At 53.9% G+C, this 26,222-nt stretch overlaps 1 long non-coding RNA gene and 1 pseudogene across 2 annotated transcripts in view; one reads left to right on the plus strand and one right to left on the minus strand.

The window, feature by feature from the left end:
* Positions 1 to 6,967: 6,967 nt before the first annotated feature.
* The window catches only part of DDX12P (DEAD/H-box helicase 12, pseudogene), a 30,482-nt pseudogene continuing 11,227 nt past the window's right edge, over positions 6,968 to 26,222 (minus strand). Inside the window, exons 6-27 of the transcript NR_033399.1 lie at positions 23,372 to 23,417; positions 22,585 to 22,692; positions 22,246 to 22,333; positions 21,643 to 21,851; positions 19,865 to 20,017; positions 18,837 to 18,883; positions 18,409 to 18,488; positions 17,098 to 17,142; positions 16,910 to 16,977; positions 15,359 to 15,397; positions 14,993 to 15,101; positions 14,748 to 14,879; positions 13,805 to 13,917; positions 11,095 to 11,167; positions 10,665 to 10,768; positions 9,792 to 9,941; positions 9,450 to 9,532; positions 9,258 to 9,358; positions 8,766 to 8,850; positions 8,389 to 8,467; positions 8,052 to 8,206; positions 6,968 to 7,976 (exon numbers count right to left, since the gene is read on the minus strand). The product of NR_033399.1 is annotated as a DEAD/H-box helicase 12, pseudogene (transcript). The remainder of the gene's footprint in view (positions 7,977 to 8,051; positions 8,207 to 8,388; positions 8,468 to 8,765; positions 8,851 to 9,257; positions 9,359 to 9,449; positions 9,533 to 9,791; positions 9,942 to 10,664; positions 10,769 to 11,094; positions 11,168 to 13,804; positions 13,918 to 14,747; positions 14,880 to 14,992; positions 15,102 to 15,358; positions 15,398 to 16,909; positions 16,978 to 17,097; positions 17,143 to 18,408; positions 18,489 to 18,836; positions 18,884 to 19,864; positions 20,018 to 21,642; positions 21,852 to 22,245; positions 22,334 to 22,584; positions 22,693 to 23,371; positions 23,418 to 26,222) is intronic.
* On the plus strand, positions 15,668 to 20,610 carry LOC124902873 (uncharacterized). The gene is made up of 2 exons (XR_007063206.1): positions 15,668 to 15,911; positions 16,857 to 20,610. It is a non-coding gene; the product is annotated as an uncharacterized LOC124902873 (long non-coding RNA).

Below are 26,222 nucleotides of genomic sequence, written 5' to 3' on the forward strand. Positions count from 1 at the left end.
AGAATTGCTCAAACCCCAGAGGTGGAGGTTGCAGTGAGCCAAAATTGTGCCACTGCACTCCAGCCTGGGCAACAGAGCAAGACTCAGTTGGAAAAAAAAAAAAAAGAAGAAATTAGCGATATATTTCATTTACTCCAATGTATCCAAATTATGGTCATTTTAGCATGTAATCAATATAGATTTTAATGAGATAGTCTATGTTCTTTTTTCCTAAGTCTGAAATTCGGTGTGTATTTACACTGACAGCACATCTCAATTTAGACTAGCCACATTTCCAGTGCTGAGTGGCTGCATGTACCTGGTGGCTACCACACTGGACAGCACAGGTCTAAGGATTTCATTCCTGGTTCAAAACCAGACTCCTAGCCTTGGTTTTGGGTGTTTTTCACAAACTGGCCTCTCTTTATCATTCTTTTTCCTGGTACTTCCTCAAGGATGACTGTGTCCCCACCACTCAAGACCACCTGCTGTTTCACCACATACCTTTGTTCAAGCTGTTCCTTTTACCTGGGATGCTCTCGTTTTGTTTTTTTGAGACAGGGTCTCACTGTGTTGCCCAGGCTGGAGTACAGTGACATGATCATGGCTCACTGCAGCCTCCACTGACCACCTGGAGCTCAGATGATCCTCCCACCTCAGCCCTCCCTAGCAGCTGGGACTACAGGCCTGCACCACCACACCCAGCTAATTTAAAATATATATATTTGTTGGTAGAGACAGGAGTCTATGTTGACCAGGCTTGATTCTTCCACCACGGCCACCCAAACTTCTGGGATTATAGGTGTGAGCCACTGCTCCCCACCTGGAATGCTGTCTCTGCACCTTCTCCCTGGGCCTGGTAGAGAGGCACACATTCTGCTGAGAGGTTTTTCCTGACTTCCCTAACCCTAGAAGGGCTTTGTTCCTCCTTAGCATTGTACTCATGGCTGGATTAGAGTTTAACTGTTTTTGACGCTGTTTTCCTGGCTGTTGCATAGTGTCTTATTCGTCTTTGTCGTGATAATGGTCTGCACTGAATAGATGATCAGTAGATGTTTGTAGACAGAATGAATAAACCACTAATCAGCCTCTTAGTGCTTGAATGGACTTGCTACTTCCTTGTTTAGATTCGTGTCTGTACAATCCTCTCATGTGGATAGTACAGTAAACACAGACACCCTCAGATGTGGTAACAAGGAATTCATCTTAAAATGTGTACAGAAAGTTTTACATCTTTATCCTCCTCCTGATCTTACAGGTGGGAGAACTGAGGCACAGGATTGAGTTAAGATGGCCAGCAAATTTGCATGAGTATAAATACAAAGAAGGAGAGGGGAGGAACATTTTTGAAAGGTGTGGGTGGTCTCACACGATTGGTTCCTCAGATGGTTGGAGATCAGTTGGCCGTGCCTTGGTTATGTGACAGGACAGAGGAGAAGTGGGAGGTGAGGAGTAGCTCCTGGGTCCTCATGAGTATTCGAGGCAGGTTCAGGTCTGAGAAGCAGAGGATATCCTTCCTGGAAGCCTGAGTTAGGAGGAGGAACTCACTGCTGGAGAAAAAGGTGAAAAGGAAAGAGACATCTCAGATCATGGGAAGTGCTGGCCTGAGGAGGCAAGGAGAGAACCATCAGGGTAGAAGAAGGGGCTGAGGAAGCTGGCAGGGGGAGCAGAGGAGTAGGTGCCAGCATGGTGAAGAGGTGCAGTGCATTATGTGTGATACACACATTATTATTATTGGGAATAACCGTGTATCAGAGTGCAGTTCTCAGCCTGGAGAATGGGAAATGGAAAGGACCAGAGATTCAGAGAAGGCAGTTTACCCAAGGTCACACAGCCCTTTAAGGCCAAGTACAGCCTCCGAGGCATTTCTTGCCACACTCACCCAGGCCCACCCACACCTCTGTTGCAATGGAGGGCCCCACTACCCAGGAGAGCAGGTCTAGGGCACAGTGCCAGGCCGGATGAATGTCCCTCATGCCCTTTTCAAACAACAGGCTATGATTAGGCCTAATTATAGGGGCCTGGTCCCTTAATATTCTTCCTGGCATGTCTCTTGCCAATCAAATCAGTGCCATCTGCAGTGTGATTCCTGCTTTAGTGGCATCGGGAGAAGAGTTAATTCAACCCAATATAAACAGACTGTGCCCTCACCTTGCAATTCGAGTATTTTTCCCTCCTGTCCTGCACCCCAACATGCACCTCCTTCCTTCTGGCTCCCTAAGCTCTAGCCTGGGTGAGCAGGGCCTGGACACTCCTATACCTAGAGTCACTAGCCACTGCCCAGTCTGTCTAGGACGCAGGCCTCGAATTCCTCAGGGTTAGAGTGGGAAGAACCCACGTGTGCACATTTGCTTTTCCAACCTGGGCACCATTTGGCAGTTGATTCGGGCAATTCTCTCACCACCACCACCCTGCCCATGTACCTGTTTCCAGCCTCTGTTTCCCTCTTCAGCCAGGGATCCTTTCTTGTGTTTCCAAGGTGGAGAGCTGAACTGAGATCATGTATGGACAGGGTGCTCGGCAGGTACCCAGCACCTTAGTACCAATTCCCCAGTCCCTGGTCCTGCCGTCTCCCTCCCTCATTCATTCAGCAGGCATCGGCAGAATCCCATCTCCTATGAGCTCCTGACCTCCTACCAAATGCTCTGCTGCCACCTACCCCCACCTGATCAGAGGGCCAGCCCCTGTACTGGGAAGTCCTCTCTCCAGTCCCTGCAACACAACCTCTGGGAGCAGCCCCTTTGGGGATTCTTGGTCCTGGAGGACCCAGCTGTCTTCCCTGGGTGGAAGGGGCCAAGGGGAGAGCCCAACTTGGAAGCTTTCGCTCCTGAGAGCCGGAGAGCTCACTCCCTTCCACCCCACCTAGCCTCCTGGTTTCCTGTGGTGGCTCTGCTCTCCCAATTCATGCTCTTCCTCCCACGAGGCAGAGAGGGGCGGGGGGCGGGGGGCGGGGGGTGGGGGGCGGGGATGGGGGAGGTTAGTCCTTCACTGTTTCCTGCAGCCGGAAAATATTTACCCAACAGTGCCTGTGTGCAAGGCACTGAGCAAATCACTATAGATCCAGTGATGAATAAGGCAGCGTCCTTGTCCAACTGGTGTATACACTCTGGCAGGAGAGACAGACCTAAATAACCAATTAATGATCAGTTATTTAATTACAGTTGTGATAAGGCCTATTTATAGTATTTTGTAATCACTAATCTTCATGTATCATGGAGCTTGCTCCACCATTGATCTGAGTGTGTTAACTCATTTAATCCTTGCCACATTTTATGAGCAGGCGCTGCTGTTATCCATTTTATAGATGAGGAAACTGAGGCACAGAAAGACAGAGATCTGGCCGAGTGCCAAAGCCAGGGTTCAAAGCCAGGGATCGTGGCCCTGGGTTCTGTGGGTTATCACCGCCTCTGCGGAGGGGAGATGAGGTGCTGCGAGGCTCATCATGGGGGGCCTGGCTTGGTCTCAGGGGTCAGGGAAGACGGATGTGAGGAAATAGCATTTGTGGTAAAACCTGAGGGTGAGTGGGTAGGTCAGGGAGAACATTCCAGAAAGAAGTAAGCACATGAGCTACAGCCCTGAGGTGGAGGACCTGAAAGGAGGCCAGTGTGGCTGCAGCGCAGGCCGTTGAGGGAGCCGAGCTGGAGGGCTGCGGTTCTTGTATCGGCAGTGCTGACCCCGCAGTCCTTGGGCTCCAGTGACTTTTCACTCAGTGTTTATCTAACTCGAGTGAGCGAATGGCGTTTGCTGTTTCCTGCAAAAGTCCCAGGGGTTGTTGGGTACACAGGTCCTGTCTTTGGCCACAAGCAACCTGAAATGAGGCTTGGTCTTCTTCCCGGGACCCCGGGCTGTGCCTCACTTGGGGGACCCCAGCATGAAGTATGTGACTGCCTGACTCAGGCCCCTCTCCAGGTCCAAGTCACCCCCACCCGGCCCCATCCCTGGTTGTTGCCAGACCTGGAGTCCCTGCTCCTTCACTGGTGCAGCCTCCTCTTCTGTCACCAACTACAGTCAGGAGGTGACAGGGATGAGGCTGCAGTCAGGGGATTTGCAGGCACAGAGGGTTGGGTGAGACAAAGAAAACGACAGGACATGGTGACAGATTAGGAACAAGAACGAAGGAAAGGGAGGAGTCAGCCATGACTGGGAGTAAGGTGGGAGCATTGACACCTCTCCCTCTCCACTTGCCCCCATCCTGCAGCAATGGACAAGCATGTGGGCTTTTCATTTTCTGTGGGCTTTTTCAGTGGGGATGTGACGTGCTCCTCCTGCTTGGACACCTCCTGCACAAAAGAGACAGGTGGACAGACCTTCCTCCTTGCCCCTTGTCCTCACTTCCTCCATCCTTCCTTCTCTCCCATTCTACTGATTGGCATCTGGTGGCCCCCAAGGTTACACAGCACTGGATCAGCTGCCTGCATAATTAGCAAATCATTCTTTTTTTCTTTTTTGAGACGGAGTCTCACTCTGTCGCCCAGGCTGGAGTGCAGTGGCGCAATCTCCACTCACTGCAAACTCCGCCTCCCAGGTTCACGCCATCCTCCTGCCTCAGCCTCCCGAGTAGCTGAGACTACAGATGCGCGTCACCACGACCGGCTAATTTTTTTGTATTTTTAGTAGAGACAGGGTTTCACCGTGTTAGCCAGGATGGTTTTGATCTCCTGACCTTGTGATCCACCTGCCTCAGCCTCCCAAAGTGCTGGGATTACAGGCATGAGCCACCGCGCCTGGCCAGCAAATCATTCTTAATTACCCCAGAGTGGAAGAGAACAAAGGTGAAGACAAGAGCCCAGGTTCAGGATCTGCTTCTTTGGGGTCATGACAGAGGCGAGGGAAGGAGTGAATCTGGATCAGCAGTGGGTGCTCCCTGCTCCCTCCTCCCCAGTAGCCTCTAGGCCAGCTGCTGGTCCAACTCCGAAATCCACCACCCCTCAGCCACCCAGCCCTCCCAGGAGAAGCTGAAGTCCTTTCCTGTGTGTGTGAGCGCCAAGCTGGAGCCCAAGGATGACATGGAGGAGGCGCTTGGGGGGTCTCCCCAAGTCTCCATGCTGCTCGTCAACATCAGAGAGATCCTTTGTAGCAGAAAATGGAGTCGCAGGGTGTGGGTGCAAGACTCAGCCTGACTTAATGGGGTCCCAGGGCATCACACTCAGGTGCAGCACAGAGGCGGGAGCCAGAAGGTGACCAGGGTGGCTTGGCTCGGTGGCCTGGGACCCCTCAGTGCAGTGTCCCTGATGACATGGGAGAGGTAGGTCAGGAACATGGTCCCAGGACAGCAGGTGCTGGCTTGCCTGACCTCCACATTGCCTCTGTAGATACAAGAAGTCTGTCTTCCCGGACCAACTGGTTGGTGCTGTAACAAAGAGCCATGTGATGCTGGGGGCAGAGACAGAGAAGAAACTGTTCAGTGCCCCTTGTCCATCAATGAGAGAGCAGCTGGAGCAGCAGGTGGACAGGGAGGGGGAGGGGCAGGGGCAGGGGCAGGGGCAGGGGCTGGGGGCCTTGCCAGGCTCCTCTCTAGGAGAGGCTCTATTGAACCCCTTATGCCACCACAGCTGTGCAGGGTGCACATGAGGTCTCGCTAGCTGCTCCTGCAGGTCCCTGTCACCTCTCACATGTCCCTACCTAATCCCGTGTGTCCCGGAGAACTACTTCTACACGCCAGACCTGGGCCAAGTCCCCAAGGTCGATGTGCCATCCTACCTGACCTGCCTGGCAGACCTCAAGTATGGTGCCAGCCTGGGCCCCAGCATCACCCACTCTGCCCTGGCACCAGGCTCAAGTCTCTCAAGCCCAGTGAGCTGGGTGTTAGGATGGCAGCCAGGCTCCCTACTCAGTCACCTCCTTCCCTAGGCACCCCACACTTTCTCCCATTTCCACTTCCGACCTATACGATGGCATGTTAACAGCACCCCAACCTCCCCAAGCTGCTGCGGTGCTGGTCAGTGCACCCTCATCCCCACCCCAGGCCCCGCCCACTGCAGTCCAAGGTGCCGGGCAGGATGACAGCAGCAGCATCCCCTTCAGGAGGGAGCCGCTCTCTGAGGCCACCTCAGTCTCATTTCTGGATCCCTGGCAGATTTTCTGTGGGGTTGTTAGCTGGTCAGAAATCCCTTATTTTTTTTAATAGTTGTCATTTCTTGTTCTACTTGGCTCATAAAATAGTGGTTTTCAAACTGTAGCGCCCTGGAATTCTCACCTCTACGGTAGAGGGAGCCTGGACAAGGGTGGCCCTGGGGCCCCCATTCCTAAACCAAGGAGAAAAAAGGGTCTAATAACAAAAACACTACAGGGGACAGGAACACGGAGCCGGGGGTCAAATGTGACTGAACCCCACACCCCACTCCGTGGCTTTCCTATTGCAGTGAGAGCCGTAAGCCAAGGCAGGGAATTGATGTGGGATCTCTTCAACAAGCTGGTCCTGAGACGCAAGCGTAGGAGGCAGGGCCGCTGTCTGCCATGGGCTGTGGCATCGTTAATTCTCTCTTGCCTTTTTCTTCCTGTGTTTAAGTCTCTGGGGCCTGGGGAAACCAGTGCTCCCCACAGACCTCCCTCACTCAGCCTTTGCCCTCCAGCCTTTTCACCTCTGGGGCTGGTGAGGGGCCGGGAGGAGAGAGCCCGTATGTCAGACAACAAACCGTGTCTGCTAACCCCCAGCAGCCACAGGCAGAGGAAGAAGAGGACAACTGGAAATCCTAGCGGGCGCCGCCATGCCTTCCTCCCCTAAACCCAGACTCCAGCCATGGCCCGGACGTGGACACAGCCAGAATGGGATCCTCAGCCCTGCTGCCCTGGAGGAAGGGGCGGGGATGGAACTGTCCCAGGTCTGTGTGGAGACCACCTTCGGGGAGCGGGAGGCTGGCTTCAGGCCACGCAGCTGGGGTGGGGGCTTCCGTCTGCCTGTGCTCCATCGGAGGATGGCTCCACCCAGCCCCTGCACCAGTGCGCTCCTCGATTCCCTAAAGAGGCTTCCAGAGAAAACAGCAGCACATATCAATGAAAAACTCAGCAGAAACCAACAGTACACTTTTAATTAAGGACCTGTAGCTGTGCAGGATGCAAACAGCTGGGCATCAGTGACTTTCCTCCTGCCCCCGGTTTGTCCCTGATGGTGGCAGAAGATCCCAGCTGACCACGGCCCCTTTCTCTGGGGTCAGAGGGAGAAGACAGGCGCAGTCAGCAGGGGCAGCTGTTGCAGGTGGGAGGGATATTTTCCCACAGGAACAAAGGTCTCCATGATGATACGGGGTCTCTATAGTCATGTTGAGAGCCTAATGGCCCTTGGCATAATTGCTGGTGTCGGGGTAGAAGGTGTCTTGGAGTTTGCTCAAGTGGTTGAGAGGGAGGGAGGTGCCATAGACTTGGAGGAACTGGCACGAAGCCAAGGATACAAATCCAGGCAGGGCTATGGGGCAGGATAGAGAGCAGGGCCTTCTACTGAAGGAGTGACTCAGGAAGGAGGAGGGGAAGGTGACAAGCCCCTGGGCAGGAGCCCTGTGGCCATGGGATCATTTTAAATTAAGACCAGAGAGTGAGCAGTCCAGGGCAGCTATAACCTTGGCTAGAAAGGGCAGAGGCAGATGGGCCTGCTCCATCTCGCCTCTTAAGAAGGTGGGCAGGACGGAGATGCCACAGTGGATGCCACAGCTGCCACAGCCTCCTGTGGAGACCAAGCGGGAGGCCTGGCTCTCAGCCATGCAGGATGGAAAGAAAGATTCTATTCCAGGAGGGGAGCTGCCCTGGAACGCCCCAAGGACAGCCAGGACCCACTGTTCATTCAGGATTCCCGCATTTTCTCCTACGGGAGCTAACGCCTGTGCCTGGGTCCTGGCAGCGCTCTGGACTCCACACTCTCCTCCTGGGTTTCACCTTTGTAACAGGATCCCTGCAGACCACGCCCACGACAAACACTGTCTCCAGAGGGCAGGACAAAGGAAGGGCACGGCGCCGGGCGGTGGTGTGGTTGCCCATCAGGAAGAGGCCGACTTCTCCCGGTGAAACTGGGCAGACAGAAGGCAGTGAGAAATGTGATCTCGGGGTTGGGAGGCTCTCAGAAAGAAAAAGGTAGGACTGACCTTCTGCACAGCAGCAATGGCGGGGCCAAAGGTAGCTTTGACCTCCACGCGGGCTCGGATCCAGGCCGGCAGCTTGGCCAGGACAGGGGGCCGGGCGTATCGCTGGTCCAGGAGCACTATGCTGGCAAAATCCTTCTGGTGCCTGATGGCCCTGCCTGCATAGGAACAGAGGCTGGCGCTCCGAGCAACACCTGCCTCCCCCTACAGCACATTCCCATGGCGACCCCCCCTCACCTTCCTCAGACTTATATAGGAAACAGGGCAGGCAACCCCTCTTTCCTGTTCTCCCCTTCTCCAGCTCCCATCTGTCCACCCAGCTGGAGGCAGCCAGGCTCACCTATGGACTGGTTGACGGCCTTCATGCACAGGTTCTCCACCAGAGCCTTCCCTGGGTGTGCCTGGCCGGGGGCTCTGGGCTGGGAGTGAAGGGGATGACCCATCAGGACTGTTCCCTGCCTGCAGCTCCCCCGGGGAAAAGACGCTGCCAGGCTTTGGAGCCAGACCAGGAGGCTTCGTGGCCAATGCCAGCAGCAGGGGTCCAGGTGACATCACAGGGAAGATCAAGAGGGTGTGGAGGGGCATCCAAGCTTCCGGAGGGGGCAGGAGACACCAGCGCAGTGGGGAAGGCCTGGCTGTATCAGCCCTGGGGGTGATGCCACTCCCACCCACTGCCTACTCTCCTGTCACCCCCTCTGTGACACTGGGGTCACTCACGAGGGTTTGATCCAAGTAGGCCATCTTCTCCTGCAGCTCTGCAGACCTGATGTTGGGGAAGGGCATGCCCACCATCACCACACACCTGGGGGGGAGACAAGAGCCCAGCGGGTGGACGTCAGGACCTCCCGGGTCATCACCCATGTCACCAGCTGCTCCATTCTACCCCTTCCGTCAGCCCTCTCCGACTGTGATCAAAACTCAGCCTCTCTCCACTCTGTACCTACCACCTGGAGAGGGCTTGTAAGGCTGAGAGATCCCGTCTAGGCCAATTGATTGGGTCCTGATACAGCAATGGCCAGCCTAAAATCCAACTGCTCTCCCAGGGCCAAACCCAGAGCTGCTGAGCCCCTCCCTCCAGCTGGCTGGTCTGAGCAGTCGCAGCCCAGCTGTGGGCTCTAATGGCAGCAGACAGCAGGCAGGGGCCCAGCTGCTGGGAATGAGGGTCGGCCATGTATCACGGCCCAGGAGATGAGCAGAACCACTACTTACCGGCCTAGGTTGTCAGAGAAGTTGATCCCTTCACTCATCTTTCCTCCAACCACAGAGAGGAGCAGGGCCCCTGTCACGGGGCCTCTCTCCTGGCCACAGGCCTGTAGGAGAAACCCAGACGCTGAGTTGCTGAGCCAAAACTTGGATGACACCCACAACGTTTCCAGCTGCCACCCCCACATGGTCTCATACCCAAGCTCAGCATGACGCCCGCACCTGGAATACGCCAGCAGCACCTGCTCCACCTGGTGTGCGCTCTTAGGTTCCTGGAATATCTGAGAAAGACAGAGGACATTTCCCAGAGACAGGTTCAGGGTGCCAGGTCTCGGGTCTGCTCGTGGCCTTGTGTTTTCTGGCCAGGGGACTGGAGAACCTCACAGCCAGGGACTTTGGGGAAATCCTCTGTAGTCAGGGACTGGGAGTGGTGGGGATGAGGAGCCAGAAGCCTGTCCTGACCCGATGAGCACAAGAGCTCCCAGGAGGACTCAGTGGCACTGTCCTCACAAGTGGGAAGGCTGCCGACAGGCCACTCACCTTCTTCCTGGCAGCCAGACGGCCCAGCAGGCCACCCTTCTCCCAGTGGGCATGGACCTGGCGCAGGTACTCGTAGGAGGGGAAGAAACAGACCACCCCTCCAGAAACCACACCGCACAGGTTACAGAGGATGCGACCCACCTCGTCCATCTAAGGAAGGAAGGAAGGAAGGAAGGAAGGAAGGGAGGGAGGGAGGGAGCCCCCATGGAGCAACCCCTCAGCCACCCGCAAACCGCGTCTTCACCTTGAGACTCAAAACTGAGGAGAGACCCTCGGCAGGACTACAGCCAAAGAAGAGGACTTGGCTCCCCTGGGTGGGAACCACGGGGTGGTAGGTGCCACCTCCCACCAAACACACCCAGCCACTGCTGCTGACTGCGCCTTTCCGACACATGTCACAGCACTAGCGTCCCTGGGGGGCCTCCCTATTGCCCTGGCACTGAGTCGTCCCTTCTTCTGTCCAGGGTCCTGATGGGCACCACAATGACAATCAGGGGCTGCACACCCCAGGCACACCACAGGAGATGCCCCCAAGCCCCACATCCCTGCCCCCGGCAGGGGCAGATATAACCAAAGGGCAAGAGAGCCAAAGGGAACTAGCAGCTTTCTGCTGAGTGAGGCGTCCTCAGAGGATGCCTGGAGGTTTTATGAATACATATTTCGCAGCCTAAGGCGTGAGGGGCGGGGAAGCTCAGACCTTCCTCCATAAGCATCTAGATCGACGCCGCTCATTCTGTGTGGCTCTAAGTGGGTGTCCCTGTGCAATTTCCCCAACACCTGAAAACACTCAGGGTGGGCCAGAGCGCCCCTGCCCCAGAAAACCCTTTGCTGCCGGAGGCCAGGCTGTGGTGCAGCGAGCTGGCTGGGACTGACCATCTGAGGCAGGTCTCTCTTCTGGAACGTGAATTCTAGCGGCTGGTTGGAGACCCCGCTGCAGATGACAAGGGGCAGGATGTTGTCTGGAGGGATCACGTGACCTGGTAAGAGCCAGGGAGGGGCCGAAAACTGAAGATGCAGGTGTGCTGTAAGACACTGCAGAGAGGGCATTTACCTGCCCCATCATCCAGCACAGGAACAGCGACTGACAGCGCTCACCCACCCACCATCGCCAGTCACACTGGGCAGCACGCAGCAGGCAGCAGGGAGCAAAGCAGGAGAGCCTGGGTGAGCGCACGAAGGGTGAGTCTCCCATCCCGGGGTCTCCTCCGCCTCTGTGCCTGGTCGCAGTATGAGTTATTACCCACAGAAAACGGGGGCCAGAACCTGACCTCTAGCCTGCCCCACCCTGGGCACAGCTTCTCACCACAGGAAAACTCCACCACGCGCTCAGCTTCCACCCCGGCACAGGCCAGCAGCTGCTGCCGGAAGTTAGACACCTGTAGACCAAGGCCACAGCGTCATGGCCCCATGACCCCTCAGAGGCCCAGCAGAAAGGAAGCGAGAAGTCTGGCCTAAGAGACAGCAAGTACACACAAACTGAAAGAAGAGGTCAAAGAAAAGGCTGACGGCAAACTAACAAAAAGAAAAATGGTGACTGATACCCAGTGCTGGCAGTCTCGTTTAAACTATGTGCAGGAACAGCAAAGGAAATCCAGCAAATCTGGCACAGTCATTATCAACCCTGGCCATGCAGCAAAATCACCAGCGAAAATTTTCAAAAATAACACGTGGCCAGGCCCCAGCCCAAACTACTGAATAACAATCTCCAAGCTTTCACCTGCTAGACTGGCAAAAATCCAAATGTAACCACTCTGGAGAAACAGGCATTCCTAGACAGTACTGGTGGGATACAGAATGGTACAATTCTCATGAAATTTCACAGTAGTTAACAAATTAAACATAGTTATACTTTTTAACCCAGGAATCCCATATTTAGGAGTCCAGTGAGAAGATACAGCCCACAAATACCAAACAGCATGTGCCCCCAGACCTTTCCCTGTAATCATGAGCCTGCCTATCCAGAGGGTACTGGTTGGATAAGCTCCCTACATCTGTCCAACAGAGAACCACGCAGCCCACTAGAGGAGCGATGGTCAGACAACTGACTAAGATGCCTTCTGTGTAAATAAAACAGGGAAGGGAAAAATGAAGACACGTTTTTGCTTATTTAGGGGAAAAAAAGACTGAAAGGATAAGCTAGTAAAACGGATTCCCTATGGGGGTGGGGAATGGGCTGGAAAGGGATGAGAGTGAGGCTTTCCTGAATAGATCTTTTTATATTGCTTTGACTTTTGAGCCATACAAATATTTACATATTTAAAAACTACAAGTCAGAAAAGAAGAAAGCAAATTCTAAAATTGAAAAGAAAATGAAACAAAAACAGCCTAGCTATCTATGAAACTGACAACAGAAGCACACGGAGAGAAGCCTGGTTCCACGTGACTTTAGAGCCTAGTGACCAGGCATCCTTAGTGGGTTACACTCTAAGGGCAAAGAGGAAAGGCAATTTCAATCAGATCTATTGTTAGAATTAATATTGGTACTATGATTTCAAAACTTTTAAGTATATTATAGGATAGAGCAGATAAGTAAGTTAATGTAGCACACATGTTCAGGCTTAAGAGAAAAAGAGATACAATAAAAGGTCAAGTAAACAAATCCTTTCATTTTTACTTAGAAACACCAATATGGGCCAGGCGTGGTGGCTCATGCCTGTAATCCCAGCTCTTTGGGATGCCAAGGCTGGCGGATCACCTGAGTTCAAGACCAGCCTGGCCAACATGGTAAAACCCCATCTCTACTAAAATACAAAAATTAGCTGGGTGTGGTGGCACATGCCTGTAATCACAGCTACTCAGGAGGTTGAGGCATGAGAATCGCTTGAACCCCGGAGGCAGAGGTTGCAGAGAGCCGTGATCGGGTTCACTGCGCTCCAGCCTGGGAGACAGAGCGAGACTCTGTCTCAAAAAAAAAAAAAAAAAAAAAGAAAGAAAGAAAGAAAGAAATACCAGTATGGATTCATTCTGAAAACATTTCCTAGATCTGTCTACTAAAATGCCCCAGGAGCATGACAAACACCCTAGCACCCACAGCTTGACTTCCAAATGTCATTCCCCATTACAAGAAACCAGAGCGGCTTGGAGAAATGAATCAATCCAGTGTGCGGCAAGGACACCCATGGTGATCCCATGACATTCTGCTGTGCTGGAGGCGAGACTGACCGGGCCACGGGGAGGACCTGAGCTAGCAGGAAGGGGCTCTCACCATGTGAATGTCAGAAACAATAATGACTGTAAACAACTTTAATATGCCGAATGAATAAAACTATGAATCTATCCATACAAAAATATAAAAATCAAAAGCTAAGGCAGCTGGGGCTGGGAAGCACTGCTTCAGGATTCCCAGCAGCTTTTTGTCCAGGAGGCCCTTTGCTAGGTAAGAGTCACCACTGTGCAGAAATGCGGTTATATTCATCACAGTCATGCTCAAAACAGAAAACTGCAAATAGCTTGCACACCTAACAAGAGAGAAGCAGCTACATGAAATGCTATATATCTGTGTAACTGGAATCCAGCACAGCTGGGATACTGAAATACATGCATACTTGCTGACAAGGAGACAGGGTTTATGACCCTCTGGCTGCTGAGTGAAAAGAGCAAGTTCCAGTGACAGCACATGTTTTAAAAACTTTTGTTTTTAAAACAGCTATGCACATAAGTAAAAATTATGCCTACAAAGACTATTATATTCATATACATCAAAACGAACCTTTTAAAAGTGGAATCATGATTTTTTTCCTTGAGTTTGAAACCACAGAACAGCTTTCTCTGGGAGACATGTGATCCTGGGGCTACAGAATGGAGCAGCAGAGGAGTCTCCACTGCTCCTGCAGCCTAAAAGGCACAGCAGTGAGAGAATAGCAGTGTCACCCAGTGGACACCACTGGGCCTGCTCGAGCTGACCCTTTCTGGCTTGCGGCCCCAGGAGAGAACAGGACTGATAACGCATCTCTCCCAAGCTCCCATCTCATCCCAACACCTGGGGAACGAGGGGCTGGGAAAGGTGTCCTTACCGGCTGCATGGTCCCCCCGGCAATGACCACTGCCCGGCATTCCTTCACCACTTGGGCAAAGTGCACAGCTGGATTCAGGAGCAAAAACTTCAGGGTGCTCTGACTGAGACTGCCTGGAAAAACAGATTGGTGGGGAGATGAGTGCAAGCCCAACAGACACTTCTATCGTCCCAGCAAAGGGGGTCCACAGTTGAGTCCAGGTCTGAGGCACAAGTGCTAGTGCTTTCTCTTTAAATTAAACACCATTTAATCTCTAGGACAACCAGCCCACAGAGGTGGACCATACTGTCCTCTCCATCTTTTTTTTTTTTTTTTTGAGATGGAGTCTCGATCTGTTGCCCAGGCTGGAGTGCAGTGGCTCAATCTCGGCTCCCTGCAACCTCCACCTCCTGGGTTCAAGCAATTTTCCTGCCTCAGCCTCCCGAGTAGCTGGGACTACAGGCACCCACCACCACACCCTGCTAATTTTTTGTATTTTTAGTAGAGACGGGGTTTCACTGTGTTAGCCAGGATGGTCTCGATCTCCTGACCTCACGATCCGCCCCCCTCAGCCTCCCAACGTGCTGGGATTACAGGCGTGAGCCACCGCGCCCGGCCTATCCTCTCCATTTTCATATGAGGAAACTGAAGTTGAGAAAGAAAATAGTCCAAATCACAAGGCTCATAGATGACAAAATCATGACCCAAACCAAAGCCCACCTACCCCACAATACAAGTTTCCCTAGGACCCCTGCCCTAGAGGACCTCCATCCCAGCCCCTCGATCTCCTCCCGTCCACCTCCACTGCTTGCCCAGGTCACAGCAGGCCAGTGCCCACTGCACTGCTTCCTCCTAACCCAGGGAGTTCCCAGGATGGAAGGAAAGAATCCTTTCATGCTGCGGCTCCCGGGCTCAGCTTGGCTCCTTCCTGGGAACTGAACCTGGCCAAGAACCACCTGATTACCTTGGCGGCTCAGGATGACCCTGCCGTCCTGGTTGGCCGTAGTGAGAGCTGCCAGGAAGCCTTCGATGTGCATCAGTGGGGAAGCTGGTTGCGGGACGCTGGCCTGACTCTCGTCTGCAGGGGCTGCAAGAGCTGCACAGAGCAGAATGGGGAGGAGGCCTCCCTCTTGTCAGGTCCACACATGAGGAACAGAAGTCCTTGCCCATGCGTGCAGCCGGCTCTGCCTGCTCACCCTCCTGCCTCACCTTCAGTCGTCCTGGGCTGCAGGCTCTGCAGGAATTGCTGAAACCCAGCCAGTTTGGGCTGCTCCCGGGATGAGAACACTGCTCCGTACCGTTCAGTGAAGCCAAAGAGCTGGGTGGGATGAGAGAGAGCAGTGGAGAGGAACGAGGAACAGCCATGAGAGAGAGGCTGGGTGGATCGGAGGCTCTGCCAGGCCCAAGACACCTGCAGCACGCATCCCACCACCTCAGCAAGGCCCACTGCACCAAGGAGGGTGGAGATGAAGGGGACTCTGGAGTTTCCTGAGGGCAGGGGAGGAAAGCATGGCAACGGCAGGGGGTTGGGGCACAGCTGGGTCTTGTTCAGGACCACAAGATGGGAGCAGTTACCTTTCTGCTGATCATGCTCTTCTCACAGTATCGCTGCACCTGCAAAAACCAAGCCCAGCTGTAGGCATGTGTGCAAACTGAGCAAGCTGTAATCTTAAACACAAAACAAAAAACACCACTTCTACCACCCAGGCAGCACAACGCAGTGCTACCTTCTGAGGCACCTGGAGCCTCCTTGCCACCAACCTTGTCATCCCCTCTCCGAGGCCACCCCCTCCTCTACTGCCCCTGCCCACAACGCAGTGTCCTCCTCAGGGGGGAGACCCTCTTTCCAAATGTCTCTCTCAAGTCTAAGAGTGCTCAGTACAATCTAGGTCCCCTTGGCTTTCCTTCCAGGTGACAGAGTTAAAACAAAGGAACTTCTATGAGCAAAGCCACAGAGGAGATGATGGCTGGGACCTGCTCAGGGGCTGGGGCAGTGCCACTCAGTCGGAGCATCCAATGTGTGTGGTTTGGTGCCAGATCTTAGCTTGGGATGCAGAGATGAGGAGTTTGGAGCCTTTAAACCGGTTTCTAAAAAGAGCGATGTCCTTCGATGAGGATTCCCTCAATGGTGAGTGATGAGACCCGAGACCCATGGGAAGAAGAGGGGAGAAGGAAAGCAAGGAGGGCAAAGGGAAGGCGAGAGAAGGAGTGCCTGCACCCATGTCCCAGCTGTGGGAGAAGCGCGGGGACGGCAGGACTGTCTGAGGCTGTCAGGCCTGGCGGCTGTCACAGGCATGTGGGAGACAAGGGGAGAAAGGCATCAAGGATGACCTGGATCCAGCCTGTCTGGCAGGGATGGTGGCAGTGACAGTGACCCAAATGTGTAATTCAGGGGAAAAGCTGGTTTTAAGAAAAAAAAGGCAGGCAGGATGGGAAGAATGTGGGGCCCCAAGTCAGTGCAGCCAGGTTTGGACGCTGTCTCTGCCACTTGCTATTGGCTCACTTGTGGGAAGCCTATGCTCGCCACCCTCCTGAAGTCACCTCCATGGGCCTGTTTGCTTTCCTTGCCGGGGCAAAAGGATATCCTAGCTCAGAGCACAGCACGTGGCATGGCGCCTAGAACAGAGGCAGAACCCTGTACCCAGGGGCAGTCACTGTTGCTGATTTGAGTTACGAGCTGGGGGTTCAGGCGGCAGTGGCCGTGTTTCATCTGGGGAGCGCTGGGTACACAGACCTGGAGCGAGCAGAGGTCTGAGGCTGCAACCAGACCCAAGGCCCAAGTGGGAAGACGTGACAGGGGTTGCACAGAACAAATCAACATCCTATTCCTGTCCATAAGCCTGAGGGAGACTGTGCCAGAAGATGGAGTGACACAGCAAGGACCTGGAGTCTCTATCTGTTCTATGGGGCACCAAGAAAGGTCCCTTTCTCACCCATCCCTCATCCCTGTGGCCTTCACTCTAAAAGAAGATGACTTTTGTCTCACAGGCGTGTTGCGTTAAGGGTTAAGTAATTACACATCTGTTTTGCTTTTTCTTCCTTCTATAGTCTTAACATAGTACTCTACCCACAGGTGGTGACAGGAAGGAAATTGGATGTGGAATGTGGAAAGGTGGAAACCTCTACCTTGAACAGGTTGATGTTGTCGATCTGGCTCTGGAAGAGAAAGTCGTTGATAGTCTTCAGCTCCATCCCTGAGAACAAACACATGAAGGGCCTTGGGAGCTTCACCCTAAGCCTCAGGTTTCAGTCCCAGGGTTAAGCTCGGAAGTGGCTCAGATCAGCTCTGGGCCCTCTGAGGGCAACTCTCTTACCTGTCTGTGACAGACTCTGTGTATTGGGATTTTGCTTAATGTTCCCTAAAAAAGAGAATGGAAATAGGTCACAATGGTGGTTCTCAGGCCCCCCAACCCTTCCCTATCTTCTCTCCCTCCACACTGCACATCAAGTAAGAAGAGCATCTGTATTTGAACGGCTTTGTTTTGCTTTTCACTGTTTATAGTATGCAACGGACCCACTTAGAGGGCAGGTGGGTCCAGGAGCCTCCCACGTCTGACTCACGTGCTTGCACGTGGAACCCAAAGCCCTGTAAAGTTTATGTTTTTCACCCCTTCTCCAGGAGGCCGGGACACAGCAGCCAGACCAAGGTATGCAGGGCACCGGAGCACAGAGGAGCTGCCCAGGCCACTGGTGAGCCTGAGGCAAAGCAGAGCTGGCGGCTCAGAGCAGCAACACGAGACCAGCTCCCGCCAGGAGCTCCCACAGGCTTTCTGCAGCTTCCACTTCCACAGACACTTTCCAACAAGGGGGTGCCCCATCATAAAAGAAGGGGATGTGACAGGGTCATGCAAAGAGGCGTGGGAGCTGGAGTCAGAAGATCCCAGGCTCCCGTGCTGGGAGCAGCCCTTGCTCCGAGCTCTAGTTTATGCGTCTATCAACAAGGATTCAAATACCAGCACTGCGTTCTCACAGGGCACACAAAACCGCATATGCAAGTGCTTCGAACAACCCACAGAACTATGCCTATCACGGAAACACCGTGTGTCCATGTGATGCTGTATCCTTAATATCCCCCCAGAGCAGCGCCTGAAATAAAAAGTCCTCAGAACATGGGCAAAGAACCCATGGGTCTAAAAAAAGCTCAAGTCAGACAACTCAACTAAGCTACAAAGAACAAGAATTTTCTAAATCAATGACCAAGACCCTTCTTTTTTTTTTTTTTTTTTTTGAGACTGACTCTTACTCTGTCGCCCAGACTGGACTGCAGTGGCACAATCTCGGCTCACTGCAACCTCTGCCTCCCGGGTTTGAGCAAGCAATTCTCTTGTCTCAGCTTCTGGAGCAGCTGGGACTACAGGCCACGGCAACACTCCCAGCTAATTTTTTTGTATTTTTAGTAGAGATGGGATTTCATCATGTTGACCAGGCTGGTCTCAAAACTCCTGACCTCAGGTGAACCACCTGCCTCGGCCTCCCAAGGGCTGGGATTACAGGCGTGAGCCACCACACCTGGCCGACCCTTCTTAAAAACACAGAGAACTGAGGCGTCCTGATGGGCATCCAAGGAAAAAGCAGCCCGGCGGGTTTTGCAGGCCGGGGGTCAGCCGGGGGGACGAGGCTCTCACCCCCTAGCACAGCCACGAATTTCTCCAGCAAATACAGGATCTGCTTCAGGTACATCAGGTTCTTGGCCTTCAAACGCTTCCTGAGAAGAAGCCAACGGACATTAAGTGGTGGTGCCCTGATGGCGACTCGCCCCGCCCACCCCAGTGGAAGCCTTGCTGCCCGGTGCCTCTCAAACTGGGTCACAAGCTACAAATCCTTTCCCAGAGAGCAGGCTGGCCACGGCCCCAGGCCTCAGAGCCAGCGGTCAGTCCCCAGCCTTCCAGGTCTGTGTGCAGCACACACCATGATGTGCCTAGGACATGAATGGCATGCAGCTCCACCCCGCCACAGCCCGGGCCAGAGGTGGGAACCAAAGTGCTGCCTCTCAGAGGCCCATGCAGGGGGCCACCAAGGGACTGTCCCACTACCTCAGAGAGTCACATCTCACCCGTATCGCTCCATGTACTGCAGCAGCTGGGAATGGGCCTGGCAGAGCTGGGGAAAGAACACAAACCAGGCTCTGAGCAAGCAGCCGAGGGCTAAGGTACTGACATCTTAGATTCACCTAGAAGACGCTAGCCCTGGACACACAGGAAGCCACCAAAGGGAGGAGAGGGGGCTGGGTGCAGACAAAAGGTACTGGTTTCCACAGCCCTTAGGCTGGTGGGAGCTAAGAGAAAAGGGAAGGAAGGGAAGGTTTCCTCCAGTGTCCACTGTGGGTCAGAGAAAAAGCAAGAGGCTGAATTCCTCAAGTATGGAATCTCCCTGCTAGTTTCCACCGGGTTGGGAAAAGACCTAGAGTCTACAAAGAGTGATGGTTCAAGGTCACCATCACATCCCAGCCTCAATTCAGCCCAGGCACAGGTCAGTAGAGCTGGTGGGATGTCGTGGGGGTTTCACAGTCAGAAACCAGTGGGCACACCCCAGCTCCACACTCATGAGCTGCATGACCTCAGGACAGAGCTTGACCATCTCTGAATCTCCACGTTTCCAATGTAAAACAGGAACACCACCCCCATGGCAGAGTCAGCGTGAAGACCAGAGACACCTGGTGCCATGCATGGCGCATGATAGGGCAGCAGGAGGAGCCTGCACTGATCTTGAGCATTCCTCAATTCAGTCCCCTCCAGACAACTTCAGTAATGACAAAATCCAATCCTGAGGGGACTTCTGCCTCACACATGCCATCTCCCTGGCTTGCAGAACTGGCTGCTGGCATCCAGGGCTGGAGGGACTCAGGAGCATGGGGGCAGGTGAGGTGCAGGGAAATGAGGCACTCTGTCATAGCGGGGTCCCCAGAGTTCTGGGATGCACTGGAAAGCCATGGTCAGCCTCCGATGAGGTCACCACCTTGACTCGTGCACCCTGTAGCAAGCCCCACCTCCGGAGGAATTCTTGGCCCAGGTGTCTGGAGGAACCATCCAAGTCCCTTTACCTCACGGCAGGCCCTGGCCCGGGGAGGGGAGGCCCACGCACCTGGGAGCCGCTGACCTCCACGCTGTGCATGCTCGTGGTGGTGTCGATCAGGTTGTGCGCCTCGTCGATGATCACCACCTGGTCCTGCAGCCGGATGCCCGCAGCCTGCCGAGTGGCCGCATGCAGCAGCATCTGATAGGGCAGCACCACCAGCTGGGAGGGGAGATGAGGCCACCTGAGCAGGGCGGGGCTCCCCTGCAGGAGGCTTGCCTGCCTGACACTGAGCTCCTGATGTGAGTGCTTCTACTTCCTGCCTGGACTGTGTAGAGACATTCAAAAAACAGCTTGTAGCAACGGACAAGCTCTCCTCGAGTTTCACATGAAAAGCCAATACATGAAACACAGGAAACTAGGGCTGGTCTGACTCCTGAGTAAACCAAGGGCAGGGCTGGGTGAAGGGAACCCCTGCTTAGCCTTGTCCATGTCCTCAAGGTCGCCCCGGAGGCCCCCGAGTTTCCACAAAACACCTGAAGACCATCGGTGCACCAGGAAGCGGCCCCAGCTTCTGCTCCTGGAGCTGCTACTTCCCAGCTGTGTGACTCTGGAAGAGTTGTCTAACCTCTCTGACCCTTGCTTTCCTCATCTGCAAAATAGGGTTGACACATCCTATTTCAAAGTGAGGGTTAAGGCGTGGAGCTGGGGTAACAAAAATAAAAGCAACTCTGCAGGTCTTTAGGTGTTTGTTGTTAGGAAAGTTTCCAGTTAAAGGAATACTCATATAAGAAATAAAATATCGGAAAACTGAATGGCTCCATCACCCACGCTTGGTGAGAAAATATGAGTCACTTAACTTTTCTGGGCTCCAGCGTCCCCATGCACGGAATTTCACTGGAATACTATTAACATAAAAGCAAAATATGGTCAAAGTACTTTACAAATTCAAAAATCGTAAAGATTTTGGGCCATATTATGGTATTTGTGTATAAATGCCTATAGCACTAATCTTGCTCTAAAGGCAAACAGACCGGAGGGAAGGCCTGGGACACCATGGGGCCTGGCAGCTTTCCTCAGTTTCTCTGCCAGCGCCCACACAGCTCAGCAGGTATGCTGGTGAGCATTTAGCTGCTGTGCAAACGGTTACTTAGTTCCCTGAATCTTTTAAAACCTTACATTTTTTTCTGGATTATACAGAATTTTCCACTAGTGATATCCCGTTTCCAAAGTCACTCAAGTTAAAGAAGTAGCAAGGAAATAGTGAAACTGCACCCACCAAGTAACAGTGAGATACTACTTTTCATCTGCTACATTAGCAGTTCTTCCTTCTGTTTAAAAATCAAGAGAAGTTGTGGCAGAGAAGACAGTATTCTCACGTGCTGCAGGTAGGTGTAAGTTAGGGAAAGCTTTCCAGTTAAGAGTACTGATATTACAAAAAGGAAAAACTGGAAAACTGAATGGTTCTATCACTGACATCCTCCATCACATCATAGGCATGGAAGTTGGGAGCATCACTTGGAAAGCCATTTGTAAATAGATGTATGCAGCACACTCTTCTCAGCTCCTGGCATCCCCCCTCTCCCTGTGGTTTCACTAGGAATGCACCGGCTTTCCTGGCTCCTAAATACCATCCCCAGTAATGCCAACTGGCCCTGCTGCCTGGAGACCCCAAGGGATCCCACGCGCCTCCTCCAACTCACGCCTCAGGAGAGAATGGGTTAAGGTGCCATCAACCTGACCACGGTGGGGGGCATCCCCCAAACTACAGTGTGATGAGGACCCCCCTCATGGCCTAGACCACAGTGAGAGCCAAGAGCGGCTTTCTGGCCCTGCAGGGCCCTCACCTGGGCTGCAGGGATGGCAAGGCGGCTCCCGTAATAGGGACAGGCCCGGGCCTCCTTCCCAAGGGCCAGCAGCTGCTCCATGTCCTTCACCTCTGCCAGGGCCTCATCCCGGAGAAGGCCCATCTGCTCGTGGTTGTAGAAGGGGCAGGCTGCCTGCTTCTCCTGCCTCCTCCTCTTTGGCTTCTCCTCCTCAGCTCCTTTCTTCTTCTCTGAGGGGGGCACAGGCACAAAGAGAGAAAACAGAGAGGACAGCAACTGTCCACGGGCCCGAGAGGGGGTTGTGTAATGTTGAGACCCACTTCCACAGGGTGGGGTCTATAAGACCCTCCCAAGTACTGCCTACTGTGTCTCATCGGAACACTGTAACGTTTTACTTTTGTTCTCCAGAAAGAGCCCGTAAAATCATCTCCAAGCCAACGATTCGGACCAGACGCTCACCCAGAGAGTAGGAACACTTTTTCCCAAGGAGAGGGGACTCAGGGAGGAACTGGGGTCTCCTCTGCCATTCTTTCTATGAAAGACACTGAATGGTCTTCAGTCACTGCCACCCCTGCCTCACTCTCTCCAGACCACCTGCGGCTACACCATGGTCCTGGTGGCTACCGTGCCTGCTTCTCTGCATGTCCACGCAGCGGTTGTTGATAAGCTGCACAGAACCTAGGCTTCTCACGTCTTCATTTACACAAAGGTTCTGCAACAAAGGAGAAAGAAAGAGGCAAAGAGATGGTGCCAGCTAAATGACATCCTACCAACACACGTGGACCTGCCCCCGCCACCTCTCCTTTGCCTTCCAGTGATGGGCCGGCCAGGCCAGGGAGGGGGCTGCTCCTCACACGGTTCAGCCTGTCACAGACCCAGCGTCTCCCAGGCCTGGACGAGCAGGACAAAGTTGTGGGGAAAGGAGCAGGATGGCCCCTGGTGGAAATACTGGCTACTGTTTACCTGCCGGGAGCCGAGGGAGACCAGCCGAACATCCTTGCCAAAGGGGCTCTTCTTCACCTCATGCACAAACTGGGCCAGCTGGGAGTGTGTCCGACTACAGTGATAAATCTAGCAGAGAGAAAGAAAGGCACTTCAAAGAGGGAACCAAAACATCCCACAGCATTCTCTAACATCAAGGCACGCCAGGGCCTGAGAGGCTGAGGGAAAGGGAGTGGCTCCCAATGCACAAAGCCGAGGCAGGACAGCAATGTCCCATGTCAGGCATCTATCGAGGGACCCAGGGATTCCCAAGTCACCCACAGCTCCAGAAGTTCAAGGGAATGCCCCACAGGCAGCTCCTTCCACGAGTCATATCCAGCACCACCCAGCAGGGACAGAAAACACCCAGACTTCAGCCCAGAACAGCTGTTCCTCTATGCCCTGGGGTGGCAAGCATGGCCCTGCCCCCAGGAGAGGTCTCCCCAGGCCCCGAACCCAGGAGATGTCTCCCCAGGCCCCAAACTCAAGAGAGGTCTCCTCAGGTCCCTGCTCCCAGGAAAGGTCTCCCCAGGAGAGGACTCCCCAGGCCCTGACCCCAGGAGAGGACTCCAAGGTCCACTGCAGCTGGCCAAGGGAGCAACTCAGGACCAGGGTTGCGTGCAAGAAGCAACAGAGTCCAAGTGCTGGAAGCTCCTCCTTTGTGGAGAGGAGGGTGAGAAGTAGCCGAGTGACTCCAGCCTCTTCCCCAAGGGTGCACAGCCCAGCCCATAGCCCCCAGCACAGCACCAGCTGAGGACACTCGTGTTACCTTAGTTATGTGTTCTTCCTCCAGGTCATCCTCATCCTCATCCACTCTGTGTGTGTGAGAGAGAACAGAAAACAGTCTTCCCTCAGCAAACTCAGCAAAACGCACTGAGCATCTGCTGAGCGCTGGTGCTGAGCCCTGGCCATTCCCAGCAATGGGTTCCACCAAGGTAGCAGGTGCTGCTTGCTCAGAAACTCCCCCAGGCAAATGCCAACCCCAACCTCCCGTGGCCGCTCAGGTCTGTGGGTAGGGAAATGTAAAAAGGAGACATGAGCTCAGCACCCCAAACCCAAGTCTTGAGTTGGAAGCCTCGGGACTCATGGCAGGCTGCTCTCCTCTCTGCCCTCCCTCCAGCAAGCTGGACCCCTCTGAGGCCCCAGGGGGGATATTTGCTCTTCATCATCTCAGGCCTTCGGATGTTCTGTGCCTGGAATGTTGTCTCCCCTCACCAGCTCCCAGTCAACTCTGAGATAGCAGCAGAAACATCACCTCCTCCAGGAAGCCTTCTTTGACCTTCCCTGGTAGGTCTGGCTGCTCTGACACAGATTCATGGCCCCTTCACACCCATCTCATTCAAAATTGCTTCCTCTCGGTCTATCTCCCCAGACTGTCATGTCCACAAGGGAGGACCCAGGTCGGCCTTGTTTCTGCTGAGTCCCCATGGCCTCACCTAGAGCTTGGTATGCAGCAGGAACCCCATGACCATCTCCTGGATGAAGCTACAACTGACCAATCGAGTGAACAGAGGATGCTGTCACTTATGACCAGCTGCAACTCTTCTTTTGTCAGCGCCTCAGTCTGCCCTTTCCAGCAATGCGGGAAGAATCCATCAGCGCCAGGCGTTGGCAGGGAAGCCAGCCCTGCATCCCATGGCCTGAAGCTGAGCTAGCTCTACTAGTCTATGCTCCTCAGAAAACACAAAACCATCTGACAGGCACACGCCACCTATGGCAACATCACATAAAAAGAAAACATTTTTGTTCACCTCGAAATTCCTTTCTAACAAAGCAGAATACAATTGTCTTGGGCTATCAGAAGAGTAATTATTACAGGCTTGGCTTCATGGTCACTAAAGAGCAGGCGGCTCTATCTTAAAAGGCTTGGATTCAATCTTATGTCGCATGCTGGACAAAGCCAGCAGGAGCTCACTGAGAGGCTGGGTGTGTGAAGAAATGAAGAGCAAAAATTTTCTATTCAGAACTCAGGTCCTCTGAGGCTCACATTATCTCCTGAAACGTGAGGGCATGGGAAGCCCCGGAAGCTGACCTACAGGATCCACGGCTCTTGCCCAGACCTGAAGGAGCACTTTGTTCCTCTAATATTCACCACCTTCATCTCCACTCAAGTTCTCTGCCTTGTCCCCATGGGCTCTAAGGGAGAAGAGAGGGAGCAGAAACACGACCTTGGAGGTGGGCAGGAACGGTTCATGGAGCACAAACTGTTTATGACCCCCTCTCACCAGCGAGGCATAAAGCAGCATGGTGGTCTCTGCCCCGGGCAGGGCCAGAAGTCGAGGTCCACATGCGCAGCCTGGAATTATACTACCAGACTGCAACGAGGCAGCATCTGCTCATTCATGTCAACTCGATTGTATTGAGCACACCCCTATGCCAAACACTGGGTCAGCTCTGGGAACATCAAACTGTAAAGACGTGGTTCCTGCCCTGAAGCAGCTCGAGCCCAGCCAGGGAGAGGAGGCAACAACAGAAGCACAAGCAGGTGCGTGAGCAAAACAGAGCAGCTGACACCCGAAGCCACCAAGACGACACCTGAGCCAGGCCTTAAAGGAGAGGAAGACATCTGCGAAGGGAGGAGGGCAGGGTGTTTGGCCACAGCACGTTGCATGAGCAAATCCTCAGACAGGACAGAGGAAGGCCTGGTGCGCTGGAGGAAGTTCAGGGCAGCGGGGAAGCTGGCGTCTGGTGGATGGCGGCTGGAGGTGGCGTCAGAAGGCGCCCTGCAGACAGACCGTGAAGGCCGGGGATGAACCTTCAGGAATATCCACGGAGGGTCTCTGGTCTTGCAGTTACCCTCCCACAGATGTGGTGGCCAGGATGTCACAGGACACACGGGACTCATCATCAGGTGCAGCCCCCCACCCCATCCACATCACCATTTTGTTTTCCTTGTAGGCAAACATGCTGACTTCACATAGGTGCTATTTGTTTTCATGTCTATTAACTGTCCCCTCCATGTCTTCTTCCCTTCTATGTCCACAGCATCTGGACAGTGCCATACTCAGAGCAGACACTCAGGGATGGTGGTGAGGTTCCAGTGTGAATGGAAACGGGGCTGTCACCAGGGATCCTGTGGGCCCGAAATGGCCTGGGTGGCCTGCTCAGGGCTAAGTCACCCAGCAGCTCATGGCTCATCAAGTGGAAACCTTGAGTCTGGACCAACAGAGGCTTTATGGGAGAAGGAAAGCTCAGGCTAAGGACGCCTTGACGGTTGGCACCTCAAAGGTTACCCAGTGCAGTCAGCTGCCTCAGAGCCTGAGATCTAGAGCCAGGCCGGCTGAGTTCTAGCCCAGCTCTCCACTGCCGAGGCTTGTGGCCTCAGCCAAGGAGTCTCTCCTTGTGGGGCTGCAGCCTCCTTGTGTATAAGGTGCAGACACAAATGTTCCTGCCCTGCCTGAGCTGCTGTGAGGACAGCTGAGAGGACACAGGCCAGGCCGGTGACTGTCCTCACTGCCACTGGCACTCATGGACCCTAGGAAGGACCTGGCTTAGAGCAGAGGGCAGAGGCCACCATGCCTCTTGCCAGGTGCTTCATGGCATCTGTGGCATGAGGGAAAGAGCTGTCTTCAAGGGTGTCCCCTGGCCTGGGGCAGGGTAGTGCTACCGCCTCTGTCTCA

This window comes from Homo sapiens, chromosome 12 (genome assembly GCF_000001405.40).
Source record: "Homo sapiens chromosome 12, GRCh38.p14 Primary Assembly".
NCBI lineage: Eukaryota > Metazoa > Chordata > Mammalia > Primates > Hominidae > Homo > Homo sapiens.